Here is a 19,278-nt window from a genome sequence, read left to right on the forward strand (position 1 = left end):
CCTAGAACCGTGTGCCTCCCCGCTGCCCTCCCTCACGGGGGCCTGTGTCCCCTCCCACTCTCATGTTCTGCCTCGCAGAGCACAGCAGTACAAGGGCGGAGCTGGGGTCTCAATGGAGGCTGGGGACGTAGCTGTTGGGTGGGAGGTGCTTCCCCGACCACCTGAGCCTGTCTCTGGAGACAGCAGTCACCCCAGCACAGCCTCCTGGTGGGGGCTCCATTCCTGGGGACCCTCATTACCTTCCCCTCTTCACATGATGGTTGTTGAGACTCAGGCTGGGCATATCAGAGCTGCCTGCTTAGGTCAGTGAACAAGGTGAGGGTTGAACTGTGGTGCATGGCACCTCCAGAGCACTGGCCTTGCAGTTCCTGAGCTCAGGTGTCAAGTGGGGCTGCAGATCTGTCCCCAGAGCCACAGGGTGTGTTCTCATCCTGCACTGCCATACCTGGCCCCTCTAACCGCACCCCCGACAGGCACATTGTGGGTGAGGCTGACCCGGGCCACCGCTCCTGCAGCTCCAACACGATCTAGTCATGAAGGGGCAGGGGCAGGGTCCTCTGCAGAGGGGCCAAGCAGGGAGTTGCTATTTATAGGAAGATGCATGGCTTGGGTGGATTCAAAATCTTTTTTTTTTTTTGCATGTTTTTTTTGTTTGTTTGAGACAGAGTCTCACTCTTATTGTCCAGGCTGCAGTGCAGCATGATCTCGGCTCACTGCAACCTCCAGGTTGGTCTTGAACTCCTGACATCAGGTGATCCACCCACCTCGGCCTCCCAAAGTGCTAGGATTACAGGCGTGAGCCACTGTGCCTGGCCTTTGCATGTTTTTGTTTGTTTGTTTGTTTGTTTGTTTTTGTGACTGAGTCTCACTCTGTCACCCAGGCTGGAGTGCAGTGCCAGTGGTCTCGATCTCCTGATCTCATGATCCACCCGCCTGGGCTTCCCAAAGTGCTGGGATTACAGGCATGAGCCACCGCGCCCGGCCCCTTTGCATGTTTTTAATGAGCATTCCGCCTACTTTCCTCTTGCTGGCTGTGCCCTGTGTTCTGTGTCCCCAGGCTACTGTTCCCCAGGCCAGATCATTCCTGGCTGGCCAAAACACCCCTCAGCCACTGCCAGCCACACGTTGTGTTTCTGCCCTTCAGGGCCATGTTCACCGGCGGCATGCGGGAGGCAAGCCAGGACGTCATCGAGCTGAAGGGCGTGTCGGCCCGTGGCCTGCGGCACATCATCGACTTCGCCTACAGCGCCGAGGTGACACTGGACCTGGACTGCGTGCAGGACGTGCTGGGCGCGGCCGTGTTCTTGCAGATGCTGCCCGTGGTGGAGCTGTGCGAGGAGTTCCTGAAGGCGGCCATGAGCGTGGAGACCTGCCTCAACATCGGCCAGATGGCCACCACCTTCAGCCTGGCCTCGCTGCGAGAGTCGGTGGATGCCTTCACCTTCCGGCACTTCCTGCAGATCGCCGAGGAGGAGGATTTCCTGCGCCTGCCACTGGAGCGCCTGGTCTTCTTCCTGCAGAGCAACCGGCTGCAGAGCTGTGCCGAGATCGACCTGTTCCGCGCGGCCGTCCGCTGGCTGCAGCATGACCCGGCCCGGCGGCCGCGCGCCAGCCACGTGCTCTGCCACATTCGCTTCCCGCTCATGCAGTCGTCCGAGCTGGTGGACAGCGTGCAGACGCTGGACATCATGGTGGAGGACGTGCTGTGCCGCCAGTATCTGCTGGAGGCCTTCAACTACCAGGTGCTGCCCTTCCGGCAGCACGAGATGCAGTCTCCGCGCACCGCCGTGCGCTCGGATGTGCCCTCGCTCGTCACCTTCGGCGGCACGCCCTACACCGACAGCGACCGCTCGGTCAGCAGCAAGGTCTACCAGCTGCCTGAGCCGGGAGCCCGCCACTTCCGCGAGCTCACGGAGATGGAGGTAGGCTGCAGCCACACGTGCGTGGCCGTGCTGGACAATTTTGTGTACGTGGCCGGGGGGCAGCACCTGCAGTACCGCAGCGGCGAGGGCGCAGTGGACGCCTGCTACCGCTACGACCCCCACCTGAATCGCTGGCTGCGCCTGCAGGCCATGCAGGAAAGCCGCATCCAGTTCCAGCTGAACGTGCTGTGCGGCATGGTGTACGCCACGGGCGGCCGCAACCGAGCCGGCAGCCTGGCCTCCGTGGAGCGGTACTGCCCCCGGCGCAATGAGTGGGGCTACGCCTGCTCGCTGAAGCGCCGTACCTGGGGCCATGCTGGGGCCGCCTCAGGGGGCCGCCTCTACATCTCGGGTGGCTACGGGATCTCAGTGGAGGACAAGAAGGCCCTGCACTGCTACGACCCCGTGGCCGACCAGTGGGAGTTCAAGGCGCCCATGAGCGAACCCCGCGTGCTACACGCCATGGTGGGTGCCGGCGGCCGCATCTATGCCCTCGGGGGCCGCATGGACCACGTGGACCGCTGCTTCGACGTGCTGGCTGTGGAGTACTATGTGCCGGAGACGGACCAGTGGACCAGCGTGAGCCCCATGCGGGCCGGCCAGTCAGAGGCCGGCTGCTGCCTGCTGGAGAGGAAGATCTACATCGTCGGGGGCTACAACTGGCGTCTCAACAACGTCACGGGCATCGTACAGGTGTACAACACGGACACCGACGAGTGGGAGCGGGACCTGCACTTCCCGGAGTCCTTCGCAGGCATAGCCTGCGCCCCCGTCCTGCTGCCCCGGGCCGGGACCAGGAGGTAGCCCCCAAGACCCCCGGGACCCTGGCCTGACCGCATGTTGTCTCCAAGTGGGGCTTGGCGAATGCACGTCTGCCTGAGAACCCCAGTGCCCCCCTTCGCCCGGGCTGCCCTTGAGGGGCCTGCTGCGTTGATAAGCCCCCCTCCCAGGGGTCCCTCCCTCCCTCCTTCCCAAAGCAGATCCTGGCTGCGAGTCCATCCGAGGGAGCCTGCCGGCAAAGCGTCTGACATGTGGTGGCAGCAAATTCGTCCCCGGGGTGGTTTCCTCGCCTGGCCCCCGAGTCCCCACGGGCTGGCGGGTGGAATCCCAGGTCTCCAGGGGGTCCCTGTGCAGCTCCATCTCACTTCTCTACTGCCTCCCAGCCCCACGGTTTCAGGCATTCAGATGTGAGCTCATCAACATTGAACCCAAAGTCGGTGGTATATGACTCACCCTCCTTCCAAGTCTCCTGCGCGCGTGTTTTTAAAATAAACTCACCCGAAACGTCCGTAACACACGGACCTCCAGGAGCAGTGAGAGGTGGCTTAGAAGCCCCTGGTTTGGGGTGGGTGGAGGAGGAGGGCACGTGTCTGCCTCCCCTGGGGTGCCCTCCTTCCCCCATCCCAAGCTGCTGAGGGGAGGCCCTGGTCATGCCTCAGTTCCTGCCTTCATCTGCTTTCCGGAGGAAAAACCATATCAACTCCTAGAAACGCTCCTTAGGGGCTTGGGACCTTCCATTTGGCACTGAGCATCTTGTGGGGCCTTAACTGGCTGAGACATCCCGGCCCTCTACATTTGCCCTGTTGGCCAGGCAGTCCCCTTCCCGCAATTGGAGGGCGACGCTAACTTCAGAATCCCATAGTGGCGCTTGCCGCAGGTCTGGTGGGGTGTCTTTTTTCTCCTCCCTCCTTTCCACCCCTCCGCGCCCTGCCACTCCCTGGCCTGCCCTGTTTTTGGGTCAACATTGCTACGGAGCCAGCAGTGAGGCCTTTCCCTTCAAGGGCTCTGTGGTATCTCTGGCCACATTTGTTCTAATGTCTGAACCTCTAAATCTTTTCTTTTTGATTGGTTTTACTGTTTTTAAGAAGCCAGCACTGCTGTCTCATAGATGGGATTTGTACTCTTGGGGCAACTTAAAGTGTCTCTCTCGCTGCTAACAGACGATTGATGTCTTGTCTCTGTGACCCACTCACCATGTAAAGAATTAACCTCCTATCTTAGCAGACATCGTCTCCTAATATTTCCCTTTATTTAATAAAAATGTTATGGTGAAGAGATGGAGCCGGCCCAGCACTGAGCTTGTGCGGCTTGGGTCTGATTGGTCACAGATTCCTCGTGTGTCCTCCGCGTGTCTGGGGGCTCCTCTCCCCCGCCTCAACCTTTTCCAGCCTTTCAGAGGAGTCGGCAGTGGGCTGGGCTTTGGCTCAGGGGCGCAGAGGCAGCAGGAAGCGTGGCCAGGACTTTCACCCTGGCGTTTTTTGTTGTTGGTTTTTTTGTTTTTTTGAGACGGAGCCTCGCTCTGTCACCCAGGCTGGAGTGCAGTGGCGTGATCTCGGCTCACTGCAACCTCTGCCTCCTGGGTTCAAGCAATTCACCTGCCTCAGCCTCCCAAGTAGCCAGGATTACAGACGCAGACACACACCACCACACCCGGCTAATTTTTGTATTTTTAGTACAGACGGGGTTTCACCATGTTGGCCAGGCTGGCCTTGAACTCTTGACCTCAGGTGATCCACCTGCCTCTGCCTCCCAAAGTGCTGGGATTACAGGTGTGAGCCACCATGCCCGGACCAACCTTGGCACTTTGGAAGAGCCTTCAGCCCCCTATTCTCATCATGGCCGGCCAAACTATGAACTGGGCTGCCCAGAGCAGGCCACTTATCAGTTGCAGGTTAGCAGAGAAAGCCTGATGTTCCCGGACGGCCTTCCCAGAAGGGAGGCCCTGGGATATCACACACACATGGATCTCCATAAGTTGCTGTGCCTGCATGCCTGGCGCTCCTGTGTGGCAGCCATCGGGGCTGGGGTAACACTAGAGGCTGAGGGGGTGGGCAGTGCTAAAATAGGAACATGGTTGGGAACCTAAAAGAAGCCCACACTGTCAGGGGCATCGAGACAAAAGCCGAGTTCCCTGGGGACTTACCAGAACATTCCAGCCCCACCCCCGACCTGAGCTCCCCCAAAGAGAACCCTTCCCCACTGGAGGCATGGCCCCTTCAGGGGAGCAGTGAGAAGCTTTGCCAGCTGCAAGTCCCCTGGATCAGCTCACACCTCAGAACATCTTGTCCCCAGTGAGCTGGCAGGGGCGCCGGCCCAGGGCGGGGGGCGCTGCTGTATCTAACCGGATCGATTGTGCATAACCGTCTAGGCCGGTTCGTGGAATGTTCGTGGGGCCCCCTGCCCCTCCCTCAGCCTCCCCCCGCATCCCCCCAAGAAAGGAAAATTATTTTTCGTATTGTAAACTTTAAACATGAAAAAGCTGTTTTTAATTTAGCAGAAACTGGCTTGAATCTTCACTTTGTGAACGTTTGTGTCCTTCAGAGGCAGAATATGCCTGCGCACACTCGCACATGCTCATGCACACACCTGCACACGCATGCCGCAACACGCACATTCACATGGCCGTGCTCGTGCACGCCTGCACACGCATGCTTGCCCATACCCACGCATTGCAGCGCGTTCACACGCTCACCCGCACACAGTGAAACACAAGCTCACACATATGCACACACACACATATCTGTGCATGCACCCCTGGACCAGCGTAGCCCAATCTGCCTGGCGGCCCAAAGGGGTCTGGAGCCCGGCACCGCCCCGAGCCTGGGGGAAGCCTGTCTACTTCCAGATGCCCTGCCTACTCGCTGAGGCCTGGACGCCGGCTGCAGGAGCCTCCCTTGCACCTGGGCTCAGGCTGTGGGAAAACGCTGTCTCTCGGGACGGTCAGATGCAGGCCCGCAAGAGGGAGGCCAAGTGCGACTTCTGGGGCCTCTCAGCAAGTGAGGGCCAAGGGGGCCTCTGGGGAGCCGTGTGAGGTGGGAATCCGCCCCGGACCTGGCCAGCTTGGAAACCTGCCCCTGGCTCTGTCTCCGAGGAAGCAGCTCCAGCTCGTCCGTTCTCACGGGCCCTGGAGATTCACTTTGCACGGTGCAGCCTCGGACCCTGCTCTTCCTCGGGGCGCCTGACCGTGGATCTCAGCGGCCTGGCGCCTAACACAGAGCCTGGCACCGACGGAGCATAGCTCGAATGTTTGCTGCACAAAGGAGAGGTGCTGGGGCGGGAAGGTGAGGGCAGCCTTCTTCACACTAGTGGCCGTGGGCACCTTCTGTGTGCAAACCCCGGGGAAAGGAGGGCACCAAGCCGTGCTCCACCCCCAGCAAGGCCCCTGCTTTGTTCTCGTCTTCCTGTCGCTCTCATTCTGGTGGCCAGCCGGGCAGCCATTCCTCCCTCCTCACCATCAGATCCCTGATTTGGTGCCAGCAGCAACGTGCCCAGCCTCTGGGGTTAAGATTCAGCTGAGCCGTTCTTGGCAATGCCTTTTGCCGGGGTTGTTTGTAATCTGGGCGTGTTTCCCAGCTCTGGCCAGCAAGCTTGAAGGGGTCGGGTGTTTCTGGACAAGGGAGAGAGAGGCCTTGTTGCCCCCTTCCCTTCCTTACTGCTTCTTATGAGGACACAATGCCAGGGGCTTCTGCAGCCATCTTGTGGCCAGGAGGAGCAAGTTAAGAGAGCACACTCAGGCTGGGCGCAGTGGCTCACACCTGTAATCCCAGAGCTTTAGGAGGCCGAGGCAGGAGGGTTGCTTGAGTCCAAGAGTTCAAGACCAGCCCTGAGTGACATAGTGAGAACTTATCTCTACAAAAAAAAAAAAGCTCGTCAGGGTGACACACGCCTGTAGTCCCAGCCACTCAGGGAGGCTGAAGTGGGAGGATCACCTGAGCCCAGGAGTTCTAGGCTGCAAGGAGCTGTGATTGTACCACTGCACTCCAGCCTGTTTTTCTGAGCCTGGTTTTCCAGCCTTCTCATCACTTCTGTGAGCTACCAAACAATTTTTTTTTTTTTTTTGAGACGGAGTCTACTCTGTTGCCCAGGCTGGAGTGCAATGGCACCATCTCAATTCACTGCAACCTCTGCCTCCTGGGTTCAAGCGATTCTCCTGCTTCAGCCTCCTGAGTAGCTGGGATTACAGGTGCATGCCACTACTCCTGGCTAATTTTTGTATTTTTGGTACAGACGAGGTTTCGCCATGTTGGCCAGGCGGTCTTGAACTCCTGACCTCAAGTGATCTGCCCACCTTGGTCTCTCAAAGTGCTGGGATTACAGGCGTGAGCCACCACGCCTGGGCTTTTTTTTTTTTTTTTTTTTTTAAATAGAGACAGAGTCTCACTATGTTGTCCAGGCGGGTTTTGAACTCCTGGGCTCAAGCAACACTCCTGCCTTGGCCTCCCAAAGTGCCGGGATTAGAGGCATGAGCCACCATACCTAGCCAACCAACCAGTTTTGCAATACACACATTGGCTATTTAAATTGTCCAGGCTGGATGCAGCGGCTCACGCCTGTAATCCCAGCACTTTGGGAGGCTGAGGCAGGCAGATCACTTGAGGTCAGGAGTTCAAGACCAGCCTGGCCAACATGGTGAAACCCTGCCTCTACTAAAAATAGAAAAATTAGCCAGGTGTGGTGATTAATGCCTGTAATCCCAGCTACTCGGGAGGCTGAGGCAGGAGAATTGCTTGAACCTGGGAGGTGGAGGCTGCAGTGAGCCAAAATTGCACCACTGCACTCTAGCCCGGGCAACATAGCAAGACTCCATCTCAAAAAAAATTTAAGTAAATAAATTGTCTAGAGTCAGTTTCTGTTGCTTACAAGTAAAAACCCTGACATGAGATGGGAATACTCCAGCATCTGTCACATTTACATTATAATTTTGGAACTGCTTGGTGACAAGCATATCTGGCCATTAGTGTTTTCTGCAGTGCAGACATTATTTCTCATAACAAGGAGACTGGAGGTCAGAGGTGCCAGGATGTTATGACTGGTGGCCCATGATTTCTGGGAGGGGGCATGACTATGCCTCTCTCTTTCTTTCTTTCTTTATTTTTTTTTGGTTTAGAGACTGTATTCCCAGCACTTTGGGAGGCTGAGGCAGGCAGATCTCTTGAGCTCAGGAGTTGGAGACCAGCAACACAGCAAAACCCTGTCTCTACAAAAAATAGAAGAATTAGCCTGGCATAGTGGCATGCACCTGTAGTCCCAGCTACACAGGAGGGTGAGGTGAGGATAGGTTGAGCCCTGAAGATCAAGGCTGCAGTGAGCTGTGATTGTGCCACTGCACTCCAGCCTGGGTAACACAGTGAGACCCTGTCTCCAAAAAAAAAAAAAAAAGAAAAAAGAAAAAAGTAAACAAGGGAATCAAAGGCGTGAGGCAACTAGGCCTTCAGCTGAAATTATGCCAGAGGACGATCCTGCCACCACTGCAGAATCCAGACGCCTCCGTTGGCACTGCCATCTGCCCTGGGCACTCAGCCACAGCTGCCCCTAGAAAACAGATGGCCCTGCCCCGATGCTGTTTCTCTGTAGCACTTGTGCCTGCATGGAAACATCCCGGAGGCCCAACCAGTATCCCACGCCATTCCCCAGCTGTCCCAGGAGTGGTGAAAGTGAGTACATTCGTGTGTATTAGTCAGCCACTGCTGTGCAACAAACACCCCCAAGTCTCAATGGCATGCAACAATAAGCGTTTGTTTTTCACATGTCTGTGAGTCAGCAGAGGTGGTGTCTGCTCTAGGCGGGCCTCGGCTGGGCAGCTCTGCTTACAGGTGCAAGGATGCAGAGTAGCCCAGAGTCCCTGCTCCACGGGTTCTTGCCTCCTGCTGGAACAGCAGCTAGCCAGGGCACATTTTCCTCCTGCAAGTGTCTGAGGACAAGTGGAATCACGTGAGGCCTCGTAGGGTCTCAGTTCGGGACTCAAACACTATCACATCTGCCCGTAAGTCTTTTTTTTTTTTATTTTGAGATGGAGTCTTGCTCTGTTGCCCAGGCTGGAGTGCAGTGGCACAATCATGGTTCACTGCAGCCTCGACCTCCTGGGCTCAAGTGATACTCCCACCTTAGCCTCCTGACTAGCTAGAACTATACGCTCATGCCACCAAGAGCAGCTTATTCATTTATTTATTTATTTGAGACTGAATCTCGCTCTGTCACCCAGGCTGGAGTGCAGTGGTGCAATCTCGGCTCACAGCAACCTCCACCTCCCAAGATCAAGCGATTCTCTTGCCTCAGCCTCTCGAGTAGCTGGGATTACAGGTATGTGCCACCACACCTGGCTAAGTTTTGTATTTTTAATAGAGACGGGGTTTCGCTTTGTTGGCCAGGCTGGTCTCGAACTCCTGGCCTCAAGTCAACCACCTGCCCTGGCCTCCCAAAGTGCTGGGATTACAGGCATGAGCCACTATGCCTGACCTGCCCATAAGTCTTTGGCCAAGCAAATGACATGGCTGAGCCCCACATCTGGAATGGGGAAGTGTCTTCCACCTGGAAGGAAGAACTGTAGAGGGCAGGGATGCAGGAATAGGTGGGAACCGCGGCCAATAGTTCGATGGGTCACCCTTGGCTTGGGGGCCTCTCTTGTTAGCAGGGTGACCAACTTCCCTCTGTGGGGGGACTCCCCAAACTTGGATGGGGACCCTGATGCTGGCAACCAAAAAGAAAGGCCCGTTCTGCATCTCCTTAGCAGCCACTGCCCCCTGGAGGTCGAGATATCCCTCTTTTTTGTTTGTTTGTTTCAGGTGAGTGGGGGCTGTGAGTGCCCCAGGATCTTGGAAAGCAGGATGGGGGTCTGGATGTAGGGAGGTCAATGGGGCCTTGGCCAAGTTTCAGGGCATGGACACTGTAGGTGTCCCTGGGAGCATGCCCAAGTCTCTCTATGTTGCCCAGGCTGGTTTCAAACTCCTGAGCTCAAGCAGTCCTCCTGCCTCTGCCTCCCAAAGTGCTGAGAATATAGGCACAAGCCAATGCATCCAGCCAACCAACCAGTTTTCCAACACGCACTTCAGCTATCTATCCCTCAGCACAAGTGGCTGGGTCCCTAGACTTGAACCATGGGTCCCCCGCCTGCCCAGTTCCAGCCTCTCACTACCCTCCTTGGCGGCCCACCCCGTCCCACCCTCCATCCACCACTAAAGCCTGGGTGGGAGGACGAGGGGCCTGGGTCCTCCTGTAACCTTATCGTAAGGAGGGGCATCGCTGGCTTCTCTTGGGTCCTTTCCCTCTCTCTTCATGATCAGACCCAGCTTTTGCTTTGCCCTTTAAAAACTCTGTACGATGAGAGCCTCTTTTGGAAGTCAAAGACAGACCAGGGATTGTTTTCCTCTTTGCCTCTCAGCTCCAATGGCCCTAATTCACCTCCACACGACGTGGGTACCCCAAATCGACTAAGATCCCATATAAGGAAGAGCTGAGAAGCAAAGCATGAAAACTAACATGGCGAAGTAGCGTTTTGCTTTCCTAACAGTTGCTGAGTGCTTGGATGAAGCAGGCACTGAGCTAAGTGCTTTCCATGTGTTATCTGTTTCATCTTTCCAAGAGCCTGCTATGAGGAGCACCACTGTCCACATTTAGCAGAGGAGGGCAGTGCGGCTCAGAGAGGTGAAGACAGTTTTCCATTGTCACACAGCTTGACAACTGATAAGTGTTGGACCACACAGAAATGCTCAAGAGTTTCTTGATCTCCCGGGTCAAGCAATTCTCCTTCCTCAGCCTCCCAGGTAGCTGGGTTTACAGGCGTGCACCACCACGCCTAGTTAATGTTTTTTTTGCATTTTTAGTAGAGACGGTGTTTCACCATGTTGGCCAGGCTGGTCTCAAACTCCTGACCTCAGGTGATCCGCCCACCTCAGTCCCCCAAAGTGCTGACATTACAGGTGTGGAGGTGGAGGTTGCAGTGAGCCGAGTTCGCGCCACTGCACTCCAGCCTGGGTGACAGAGCAAGACTCTGTCTTAAAAACGCACAAACGAATGAACAAAAACACATAAGAAATCACGTGTGTCTGTGCCCTTTCCACATTCCACAGGCACACAGGGAACTCTGGCCTGGCCCTGGCCTCTTTGGGAAAGGCGAACATAATCTCAGCTCAATCTACAAGGGATCAGATGAGACCGCACAAACAGCTGCCTTCAGAGAATGGGATGTTTCTGGGTCATGGGAAGAGACGCTGGAGGTCCACTTCAGCTAGACCCTTCAGGAGGGTCTCTCAGAGCAGAGGCCTGCAAGTCGAGAAGGAGCCAGCCACGAAAGCATCTTGGAGGAGCGCAATCCAGGCAGAGGGAACAGCGAAGAGGCCCGTGTGGCTGGAGCGAGAGCCGAGCCGAGCATAAGCATGTGGAGCCGCCAGGAGGAGGGTATTTTTTTTTTATTTGAGATGGAGTCTCACTCTGTCTCCCAGGCTGGAGTGCAATGGTGCGATCTCGGCTCACTGCAACCTCCACCTCCCGGGTTCAAGCGATTCTCCTGCCTCAGCCTCCCGAGTAGCTGGGATTACAGGCACCCACCATCATGCCTAGCTAATTTTCATTTTTTTTTTTTTTTAAGAGACGGGGTTTCACCATGTTGGCCAGGCTGGTCTTGAACTCCTGACCTCAGGTGACCCACCTGCCTCTGCCTCCCAAAGTGCTGGGATTACAGGCATGAGCCACTGCGCCAAGCCTTTAGATTTTTTTTTTTTTTAAGTGCGATGGGAGTGTGGGATCTGCCCTGCTTTGCAAAGCCCGCAGGGCTGCTGTGAGGAGCAGTGTTGGACCACACTGGGTGACAGCAAGTTCCTTTGATGAAGGAAGAAAGTGAAAACCTCAGGGTTGGTTTCTGCCCGGGTCACTGGACACTGAAGCCTCGCCCTTCTCAGGGCTGGGGGTCAGTGGAGCAAGAAGCGGGGCTTGGGCTGCTGTCTGGCCATTGCACAATGAGCGGGCTGGCTGCTTCCTCTGACTCATCACCAGGGTTTAGGATGGATCAAGTTTCATGCCAGGCGGGCCGCGGGGTGAATGGGGGTGAGTAGGAAGAGCAGCAGACTTACTTCTGCACATGCCCAGGATGGCTCCTTGCTGTAACCCCTGCTAGTCCCCAAAATCTTTTCTCTTCCATCTTCCTGTGTCTGGAAACTGGCTTAGTGCAGATATATGTAAGTGATCAGGGTAAGTGGCATTTATGGAGCACCTCTTAGTGAGACACATATTAACATATGTTAACATACTAACATATTAACGTATGTTGACACATACGAATTTCATTTAAAGCCTACAGGGCCAGGTGCAGTGGCTCACGCCTATAATCCTAGCACTTTGCGAAGCCGAGCCAGGAGGATCACTTGAGGTCAGGAGTTCGAAAGCAACCTGGCCAACATGGCAAAACCCCGTCTCTACTAAAAATACAAAAATTAGCCGGGTGTGGTGGCCTACACCTGTAGTCACAGCTACTCAGGAGGCTGAGGCAGGAAAATCGCTTGAGCCTAGGAGGTGAAGGCTGCAGTGAGCCGAGATCTCACCACTGCACGCCAGCCTAGGAGACAGAGCGAAACTCCATCTCAAAAAAAAGAAAAAATTAGCTAGGCGTCGTGGTACACCCCTGTAATCTCAGCTACTCGGGAGGCTGAAGTAGGAGGAGAATTGCTTGAACCAGGGAGGCGGAGGTTGGAAGTTGCAGTGAACAGAGATCGCAACACTGTACTCCAGCTTGGGTAACAGAGCGAAACTGTGTCTCAAAAAAGAAAAAAAAAAAAAGATACATGTAATTGATTAGGGTAAGTGGCATCAATTACGGAGCACTTCTTAGAAGTAAGGCAGTTGACACTTATTAACTTCATTTATTTTATTTATTTATTTATGTATTTTTTTGAGATGGAGTTTCACTTTTGTTGCCCAGGCTGGAGTGCAATGGCGCAATCTTGGCTCACTGCAACCTCCACCTCCTAGGTTCAAGCGATTCTCTTGCCTCAGCCTCCCGAGTAGCTGAGATTACAGGCATGTGCCACCACGCCCGGCTAATATTGTATTTTTAGTAGAGACGGGGTTTCTCCATGTTGGTCAGGCTGGTCTCAAACTCCTGACCTCAGGTGAGCCGCCCGCCTCAGCCTCCCAAAGTGCTGGGATTACAGGCGTGAGCCACCACGCCTGGCTAACTTCATTTAAAGCCTACAAAACTCAGTGTGTGAAAGCAGCTGAGGTCGGCTGTGAGGCCTGAGTTTTGGTGCATAAGTTGCTAGGGCAGCTGCTGTCCCTGCTCTCTGTCTTTATTTCTTCTCTGACCTCACAGGATGCTGTCAAGAACTAGAAGCCGGTCAGGCGTGGTGGCTCACGCCTATAACCCCAGCACTTTGGGATGCCAAGGTGGGAGTATCATCTGAGGTCAGGAGTTCGAGACCAGCCTGGCCAACATGGTGAAACCCCATCTCTACTAAAAATACAAAAATTAGCTGGGCGTAGTGGCGCACGCTTGTAGTCCCAGGTACTCTGGAGGCTGATGCAGGAGAATCACTTGAACCTGGGAGGCGGAGGTTGCAGTGAGCCAAGATCGTACCACTGCACTCTAGCCTGGGAGACCTAGCGAGACTCTGTTTAAAAAAAAAAAAAAAAAAAAAAAGAACTAGAAGCCACATATGTAGCGGGCCCAGTCTCGCATTGGACTCACAGAAGCTGCAGTCTCAGTCAGAACCAGGAACAGAAAAAGGACTTGAAATAGATTTAGGCAGGCCAGGCACGGTGGTGCACACATGTAATCTCAGCACTTTGGGAGGCTGAGGGGGGCGGATCACTTGAGCCCAGGAGTTTGAGACCAGCCTGAGCAACAGGATGAATCCTGTCTCTACAAAAACCACAAAACATTAGCCAGGCATGATGATGCACACCTGTAGTCCCAGCTACCTGGAAGGCTGAGGTGGGGGGATCACCTGAGCCTAAGGGTTGGGGCTTCAGTGAGCATGATCATGCCACTGCACTCCAGCCTGGGCAACAAAGTGAGACCCTGTCTGAAAAAACAAACAAACAAACAAACAAGAAAACAAATAGACAAGCACAAAAGGGAATAAATTTTTGGCCTACATAACTTAAAAGGCAGGTGAGTCTAGCTTCAGGAATGGCTGGATCCAGAAGCTCAGGCTGGAGTACAGTAATGTGATCTCGGCTCACTGCAACCTCTGCCTCCTGGATTCAAGCTGTTCTCCTGCCTCAGCCTCCCAAGTAGCTGGGATTAGAGGCATGTGCCACCATGCCCAGCTAATTTTGTATTTTTAGTAGAGATGGAGTTTCCCTATGTTGGTCAGGCTGGTCTCAAGCTCCTGACCTCAAGTGATCCACCCACCTTGGCCTCCCAAAGTGCTGGGATTACAGTTGTGAGCCACCGTGCCAGGCCTGGTTCTGTTTTCCTCTGTGTGGGTCCACTCTTTTGGCCCAGCTGAACTAATCTTTTGTTTTTTTTTGAGACAAAGTCTCCCTCTGTTGCCCAGGCTAGAGTGAAGTGGCGCTATCTTGGCTCACTGCAACCTCCACCTCCTGGGTTCAAGTGATTTTCCTGCCTCAGCCTCCCCAGCAGCTGGAATTACAGGCGTGTGCCACCGCGTCTGGCTAATTTTTTTTGTATTTTTAGTCGAGATGGGGTTTCACCATGTTGGCCAGTCTGGTCTCAAACTCCTGACCTCAGGTGTTCTGCCCGCCTCTGCCTCCAAAAGTGTAGGGATTACAGTCATGACCCAGCGCCCAGCCTGTTTTTTGTTTGTTTGTTTGTTTGTTTGTTTGAGACAGGGTCTTGCTCTGTCACCCAGGCTGGAGTGCAGTGCATTATCATAGCTCACTGCAGCCTCCATCTCCCAGGCTCAAGCAATCCTCCTGTCTCAGCCTCCTGAGTAGCTGGGATTATAAGCAGGCATCACCACGCGCAGGTAATTTTTTTATTTTTAGTGGAGATTAAATCTCGCTATGTTGCCCAGGCTGGTCTCAAGCTCCTGGGCTCAAATGATCCTCCTGCCTCGGCCTCCCAAGTTCTGGGATTACAGGCATGAGCCACAACACCCAGCCTGGCCTGAACCAATCTTGATGGCCAGCACAATGGGCTATGCTGATTGGCCAAGACTTCCACCTTAGGGAGGGGTGTTTGTGTGGTGGGAGAGTGGTGAGACCAGCCATTCACATCTCACAGACTGAAAGTCAGAACCAGTGTTCCCCAAATAAGGGTTGTTGACACTAAAAAGTTGAGGGAGTGGGTGGGGTTGAGAGAAGGAATATGCTTGTTAGGCAAAAAGTATAGGAGCTTACCAAAGTGCGCAAAATCATATCAAGAAGGAAGATGGCCGGGTGCGGTGGCTCATGTCTGTAATCCCAGCACTTTGGGAGGCTGAGGCGGGCGGATCACCTGAGGTCAGAAGTTCAAGACCAGCCTGGCCAACACGGTGAAACCCTGTCTCTACTAAAAATACAAAAAGTAGCCGGGTGTGGTGGTGGGTTCCTGTAATTCCAGCTACTTGGGAGGCTGAGGCAGGAGAATCACTTAAACCCCAGAGGCAGAGGTTGCAGTGAGCTGAGTCTGTGCCACTGCACTCCAGCCTGGGAAACAGAGACTCCGTCTCAAAAAAAAAAAAAAAAAAAAAATCCCATAAAAATTAGCTGAGCATCATGGTGCATGCCTGTAATCCCAGCTACTTGGGAGGCTGAGGTAGGAGAATCGCTTGAACCTGAGAGGCAGAGATTGCAGTGAGCCAAGGTTGCGCCACTGCACTCTAGCCTGGGCGACAGAGTGAGACTCTGTCTCAAAACAAAGATAAAGTAGGGCAGTGGCAATATCCAAGGCATTCTAAATGAAAATCGATATATATATATATATATTTAACATGAGCATTTTATTACCTGTTGTAAAGCATGAATCAAAGCATGTTTGGAAGATGTCAGCATCCCCTCCAGCCATCCTCAGTCCAATAAAATGTGTGCTTGTTGTGCCATTAGAGCCATCATCAATTCCCCCAGCTGACCTTCCTAGCTTCCACCCAGCCCATACTCTGAAATCCCTGCAGCCTCCTGAATATAAACTTTCAATATTGGTGGTTGGGGGTCCCTCTCTTGAGGGAGGGAGGGTTAGAGTCCCTCCTGCTTCCCTGGCTTACCACTCTGCCATCGGGGGAGTCTCTGCTCCTTCCTTCACTGCTGAGTCTTGATGGGATTTCTGGACCCTTCTGTTAGCACCTTGTTGCAAAATAGAGATCCTTGAACAAGACTGGACTGGAGAAGTATGCAGAGGGAAGGCTGAAGCTCTGTAACTCCAGTTCTTTGGGCTCAGGTATCCAGAGAATAGCAATATGCCCATTGCAAGGGAATGGGAAAAAGTAGTCGTCGGCTGGACATGGTGGCTCACGCCTGTAATCCCAGCACTTAGGGAGGGCGAGGCGGGTGGATCACCTGCTGTCAGGAGTTCAAGACCAGCCTGGCCAACATGGTCTTTAGTCTCTACTGAAAATAAAAAAATTAGCTGGGCGTGGTGGCGCCTGCCTGTAATCCTAGCTACTGGAGAGGCTGAGGCAGGAGAATGGCTTGAACCTGGGAGGAGGAGGTTGCAGTGAGCCGAGATCGCACCACTGCATTCCAGTCTGGGCGACAAGGGCAAAACTCGGTCTCAAGGGAAAAAAAAAAAAAAAAAAGAAAGTCGTTAAGGGCAACAGCTAGGTTTATGGACTGAGAGAGCCGATTGCAGGGTTCAGGTCTTAGCTAAGATAACTTTCCGCCTCCCTGTCTGTGGTGGCTGCAGGAGCCTCCCTCCCTAATGTTCTGTGGCTGGCCACTGGTCTTATTTACCGCATCACATTTACCTCCATCTGAAAAGTTCTTGGTTATTTGTGTGCTATGTCTGCCCCCTCTCTGACTGTACACTCCATAAGGGCAGGGATCACCTCTGCTTGTTCACGCCTGTACTCCAGTTTGCCTGGCACATAGTAGGTGCTCAGTAAATATTCCTTGAATGAATGAATGCATGAGTGACCAACGCCCTAGTCTGTTTTCAGAGCTCTTAGTCCAAACCCAGGTTCAACTTGGGGTGCCACCAATCCTTGCGGGGGGGGGTGCCTGGCCCCACCCTTGTGAATTGGGAGGATCTGGGTCAGGCCGTCTCCCTCTTGGGGGCTCCAGTGCCCCAGCCGATCCGCGGTCCTTGTCCAACAGCCCAGAGGCCGCTGTCCAGCGGGCCAGGAGGCGGATCACTGCGTCGGCGTTGAAATTTCCACTCGCGCTCCACCGCCCTTCCCGCGGGCCCCGAGCGCGCGCCTGGGCGCGCGCATGCGCCTTCGCCCCCGCGCCGCGCGCCGCTCCTGTGCGCCTGCGCCGCGCTCACGACCGCCGGCGCGCCTGCGCACTGCTCGCCGCCCGTGGGCCCAGCCGGCGCTTGCGCGGTGGCACGGGCGAGTGGGGGGGCGAGGAGGTGGAGGAGGAGGAGGAGGAGGAGGAGGTGGCGGCGAGAAGATGGCGACTTCGAACAATCCGCGGAAATTCAGCGAGAAGATCGCGCTGCACAATCAGAAGCAGGCGGAGGAGACGGCGGCCTTCGAGGAGGTCATGAAGGACCTGAGCCTGACGCGGGCCGCGCGGGTAAGGGGGCTGCCCGCGCCGACCCTTCAGGGCCGGCGGAGGGAGGGAGGGGGCGCGTGTCCGGCGCGTGCACGGGGCGGGGTGGGGGGGGGCGCGGCGGGGGCGGGGCGCGCGCGGCGGGGGCGGGGCTTGGCACGGCCCGAGGGGGACAGGTGTCCCCACGCCCCGGGCGTCGTGGGCGGGACAGGTGACCCCACAAAATCCATACCTGATGGGGTACAGGTGCCCTGCATCACTGCTCCCCGGAGGAGACAGGGGCCTCTATATCATTACTACTAGGAGGGAACAGGTGCTAGTACCTCGTCGTTACCTGACAGGGGACAGGTGTCCCTACATCATTGTTACCCGAGGGGGACAGGTGCCCCACATTATTACTACCTGGAAGGGACAGGTGCCCCCGCATCATTGCTACCTGGGGGGGCAGGATGACACAGGTGTATGAGCTGGGTGCTGCTTGCAAGCACCATTGGTAGCTGGGGGTGAGGGTGCAAGTGCCCCCGCATCCTTGCTACCTGGGAGGGACAGATGCCCTCCCATTCTTGCTACCTGAGGGGGACCGGTGTCTCTACGTCATGGTTACCTGTGCCTTTACTCCCTGGGTGTTGGGGGAGGAACGGATGTCCCCACTTGCAGAGCTGAGGTGGGACAGGGATCTCTCCCTCTTGGACAGCTGAGGGAATGGTCAGATCCTGTCCCCCAGGGGGTCCAGAGGGGGGCCAAGAAGGCAGATTGTGCTCAGTCCTGGAACTTGGAGTGGAGACAGCTGCCCCTTCTCCATGTAGCCCATATGGTGGGGGCCAGGTGATGTTCCTCCCAGTGGAACAGGGGATGCTGACCACAGCCCCTGCCCTCTCAGGACCAGGGTGGAGGGCCAGGTCTGCCTCAGGTGGCTGGGCGCATTTGGTGTGCAGGGGCAGGCCAGGTTCTGCCAGGCTCCTGTCTGGCAGAGCAGATACCCTGCAAATCTCACCTGGGAAGTTGCTGTGGGCCAGGAGCAGGGGCTTGGGGCTGGTGTCTGAGCACGGCAAGGCACCCGAGTTCCTCAGGCCTCAGTTTCTTGTCAGGCATTCTAGCAAGACCTTCCTCTTGGGGCAGGGTGGTGAGCACACTCTGCAAAGGTGATGCTGAATCTCCACTTTGTTCTTGCAGTGTGGTGAGACCTCTCTCCTGCATCCTGGGGCCTTGGGGAGGGTTTGGGTGGGCTTTGCAGATGCTCGTATCCCTGGTTTCCAGATTCAGCCACTGATGTGACTGGCTCAGGTAGACTTAACCTCAGTCTCTGATTCCTTAGGTAGCACTTTCAGTCTGTGTTACTTTGTAACTAGTTGTTTGTTTCTCTGAGAGATTGTGACCTTATAGACTAGGATTTGTGTCTTCATTTCTGTGTTGGTAATGATTGGGAGCTCACTGTCACCCAGGTACTGCTTTAGGCATGCTCGGTGAGTGTGCCACATCTGTCCTCCCAGCTCCAAGCAGCTACATTCTTGCTCAGGATGTAGAGAAAGAGATGGCTGGTGAATGAATGAATGAAAAAAAAATAAGAAAATGGCCAGGTGTGGTGGCTCATGCCTGTAATCCCAGCACTTTGGAAGGCTGAGGCAGTGGATCACCTGAGGTTAGGAGTTCGAGACCAGCCTGGCCAACGTGGTGAAACCCTGTCTGTACTAAAAATATAAAAATTAGCCGGACGTGGTGGTAGCTACCTGTAATCCCAGCTACTGGGGAGGTTGAGGTGGGAGAATCACTTGAACCTGGGAGGTGGAGGTTGCAGTGAGCCGAGATCATGTTACTGTACTCCAGCCTGGGTGACAAGAGTGAAACTCCATTTCAAAAAAAGAAAATAAGAAGAAAGTGTGCAACTTGAGCATCCTTCCACGTGAGTGTCCCCCACATATCAGGGCTTCTGAGGCAGGAGTGGCCACTTCTTTTTGTCTCCAGCACATGGTGTGTGCTGGCATGCAGTTGTTGT

The 19,278-nt window shown here is 55.0% G+C and overlaps 2 protein-coding genes across 8 annotated transcripts in view, besides 3 other annotated features; both read left to right on the forward strand.

Moving 5' to 3' along the window:
- The window catches only part of KLHL26 (kelch like family member 26), a 34,694-nt gene extending 29,492 nt beyond the window's left edge, over positions 1-5,202 (forward strand). For 3 of the 6 annotated variants that reach the window (NM_001345982.2, NM_018316.3, NM_001345983.2), the window contains one exon: positions 1,145-5,202. In NM_001345982.2, coding sequence (NP_001332911.1) covers positions 1,145-2,726 — 1,582 coding nt within the window. In that variant the 3' untranslated portion in view covers positions 2,727-5,202. Of the gene's footprint in view, positions 1-881 lie in introns of all 6 variants that reach the window. The other 3 variants (NM_001345984.2, NM_001345981.2, NM_001345985.2) reach the window with 3 other exon arrangements.
- Positions 5,860-6,594: an enhancer, noted in NCBI's record as "H3K27ac-H3K4me1 hESC enhancer chr19:18783189-18783923 (GRCh37/hg19 assembly coordinates)". NCBI's record gives its function as "activates a minimal SCP1, AML or CMV promoter by ChIP-STARR-seq in naive and primed H9 embryonic stem cells {active_cell/tissue: H9 hESC(naive and primed)}" and the evidence as "EXISTENCE:reporter gene assay evidence [ECO:0000049][PMID:30033119]".
- Positions 16,551-16,850: an enhancer, noted in NCBI's record as "active region_14330". NCBI's record gives its function as "activates an Ori minimal core promoter by ATAC-STARR-seq in GM12878 lymphoblastoid cells {active_cell/tissue: GM12878}" and the evidence as "EXISTENCE:reporter gene assay evidence [ECO:0000049][PMID:35858748]".
- Positions 17,061-17,150: a silencer, noted in NCBI's record as "silent region_10416". NCBI's record gives its function as "represses an Ori minimal core promoter by ATAC-STARR-seq in GM12878 lymphoblastoid cells {active_cell/tissue: GM12878}" and the evidence as "EXISTENCE:reporter gene assay evidence [ECO:0000049][PMID:35858748]".
- Positions 17,161-19,278, forward strand: part of CRTC1 (CREB regulated transcription coactivator 1) — a 98,654-nt gene continuing 96,536 nt past the window's right edge. For both annotated transcript variants that reach the window (NM_001098482.2, NM_015321.3), the window contains exon 1: positions 17,161-17,309. In NM_001098482.2, the coding sequence (NP_001091952.1) occupies positions 17,184-17,309 (126 nt within the window). In that variant the 5' untranslated portion in view covers positions 17,161-17,183. The remainder of the gene's footprint in view (positions 17,310-19,278) is intronic.

This window comes from Homo sapiens, chromosome 19 (assembly GCF_000001405.40).
Source record: "Homo sapiens chromosome 19, GRCh38.p14 Primary Assembly".
Taxonomy (NCBI): Eukaryota; Metazoa; Chordata; class Mammalia; order Primates; family Hominidae; genus Homo; species Homo sapiens.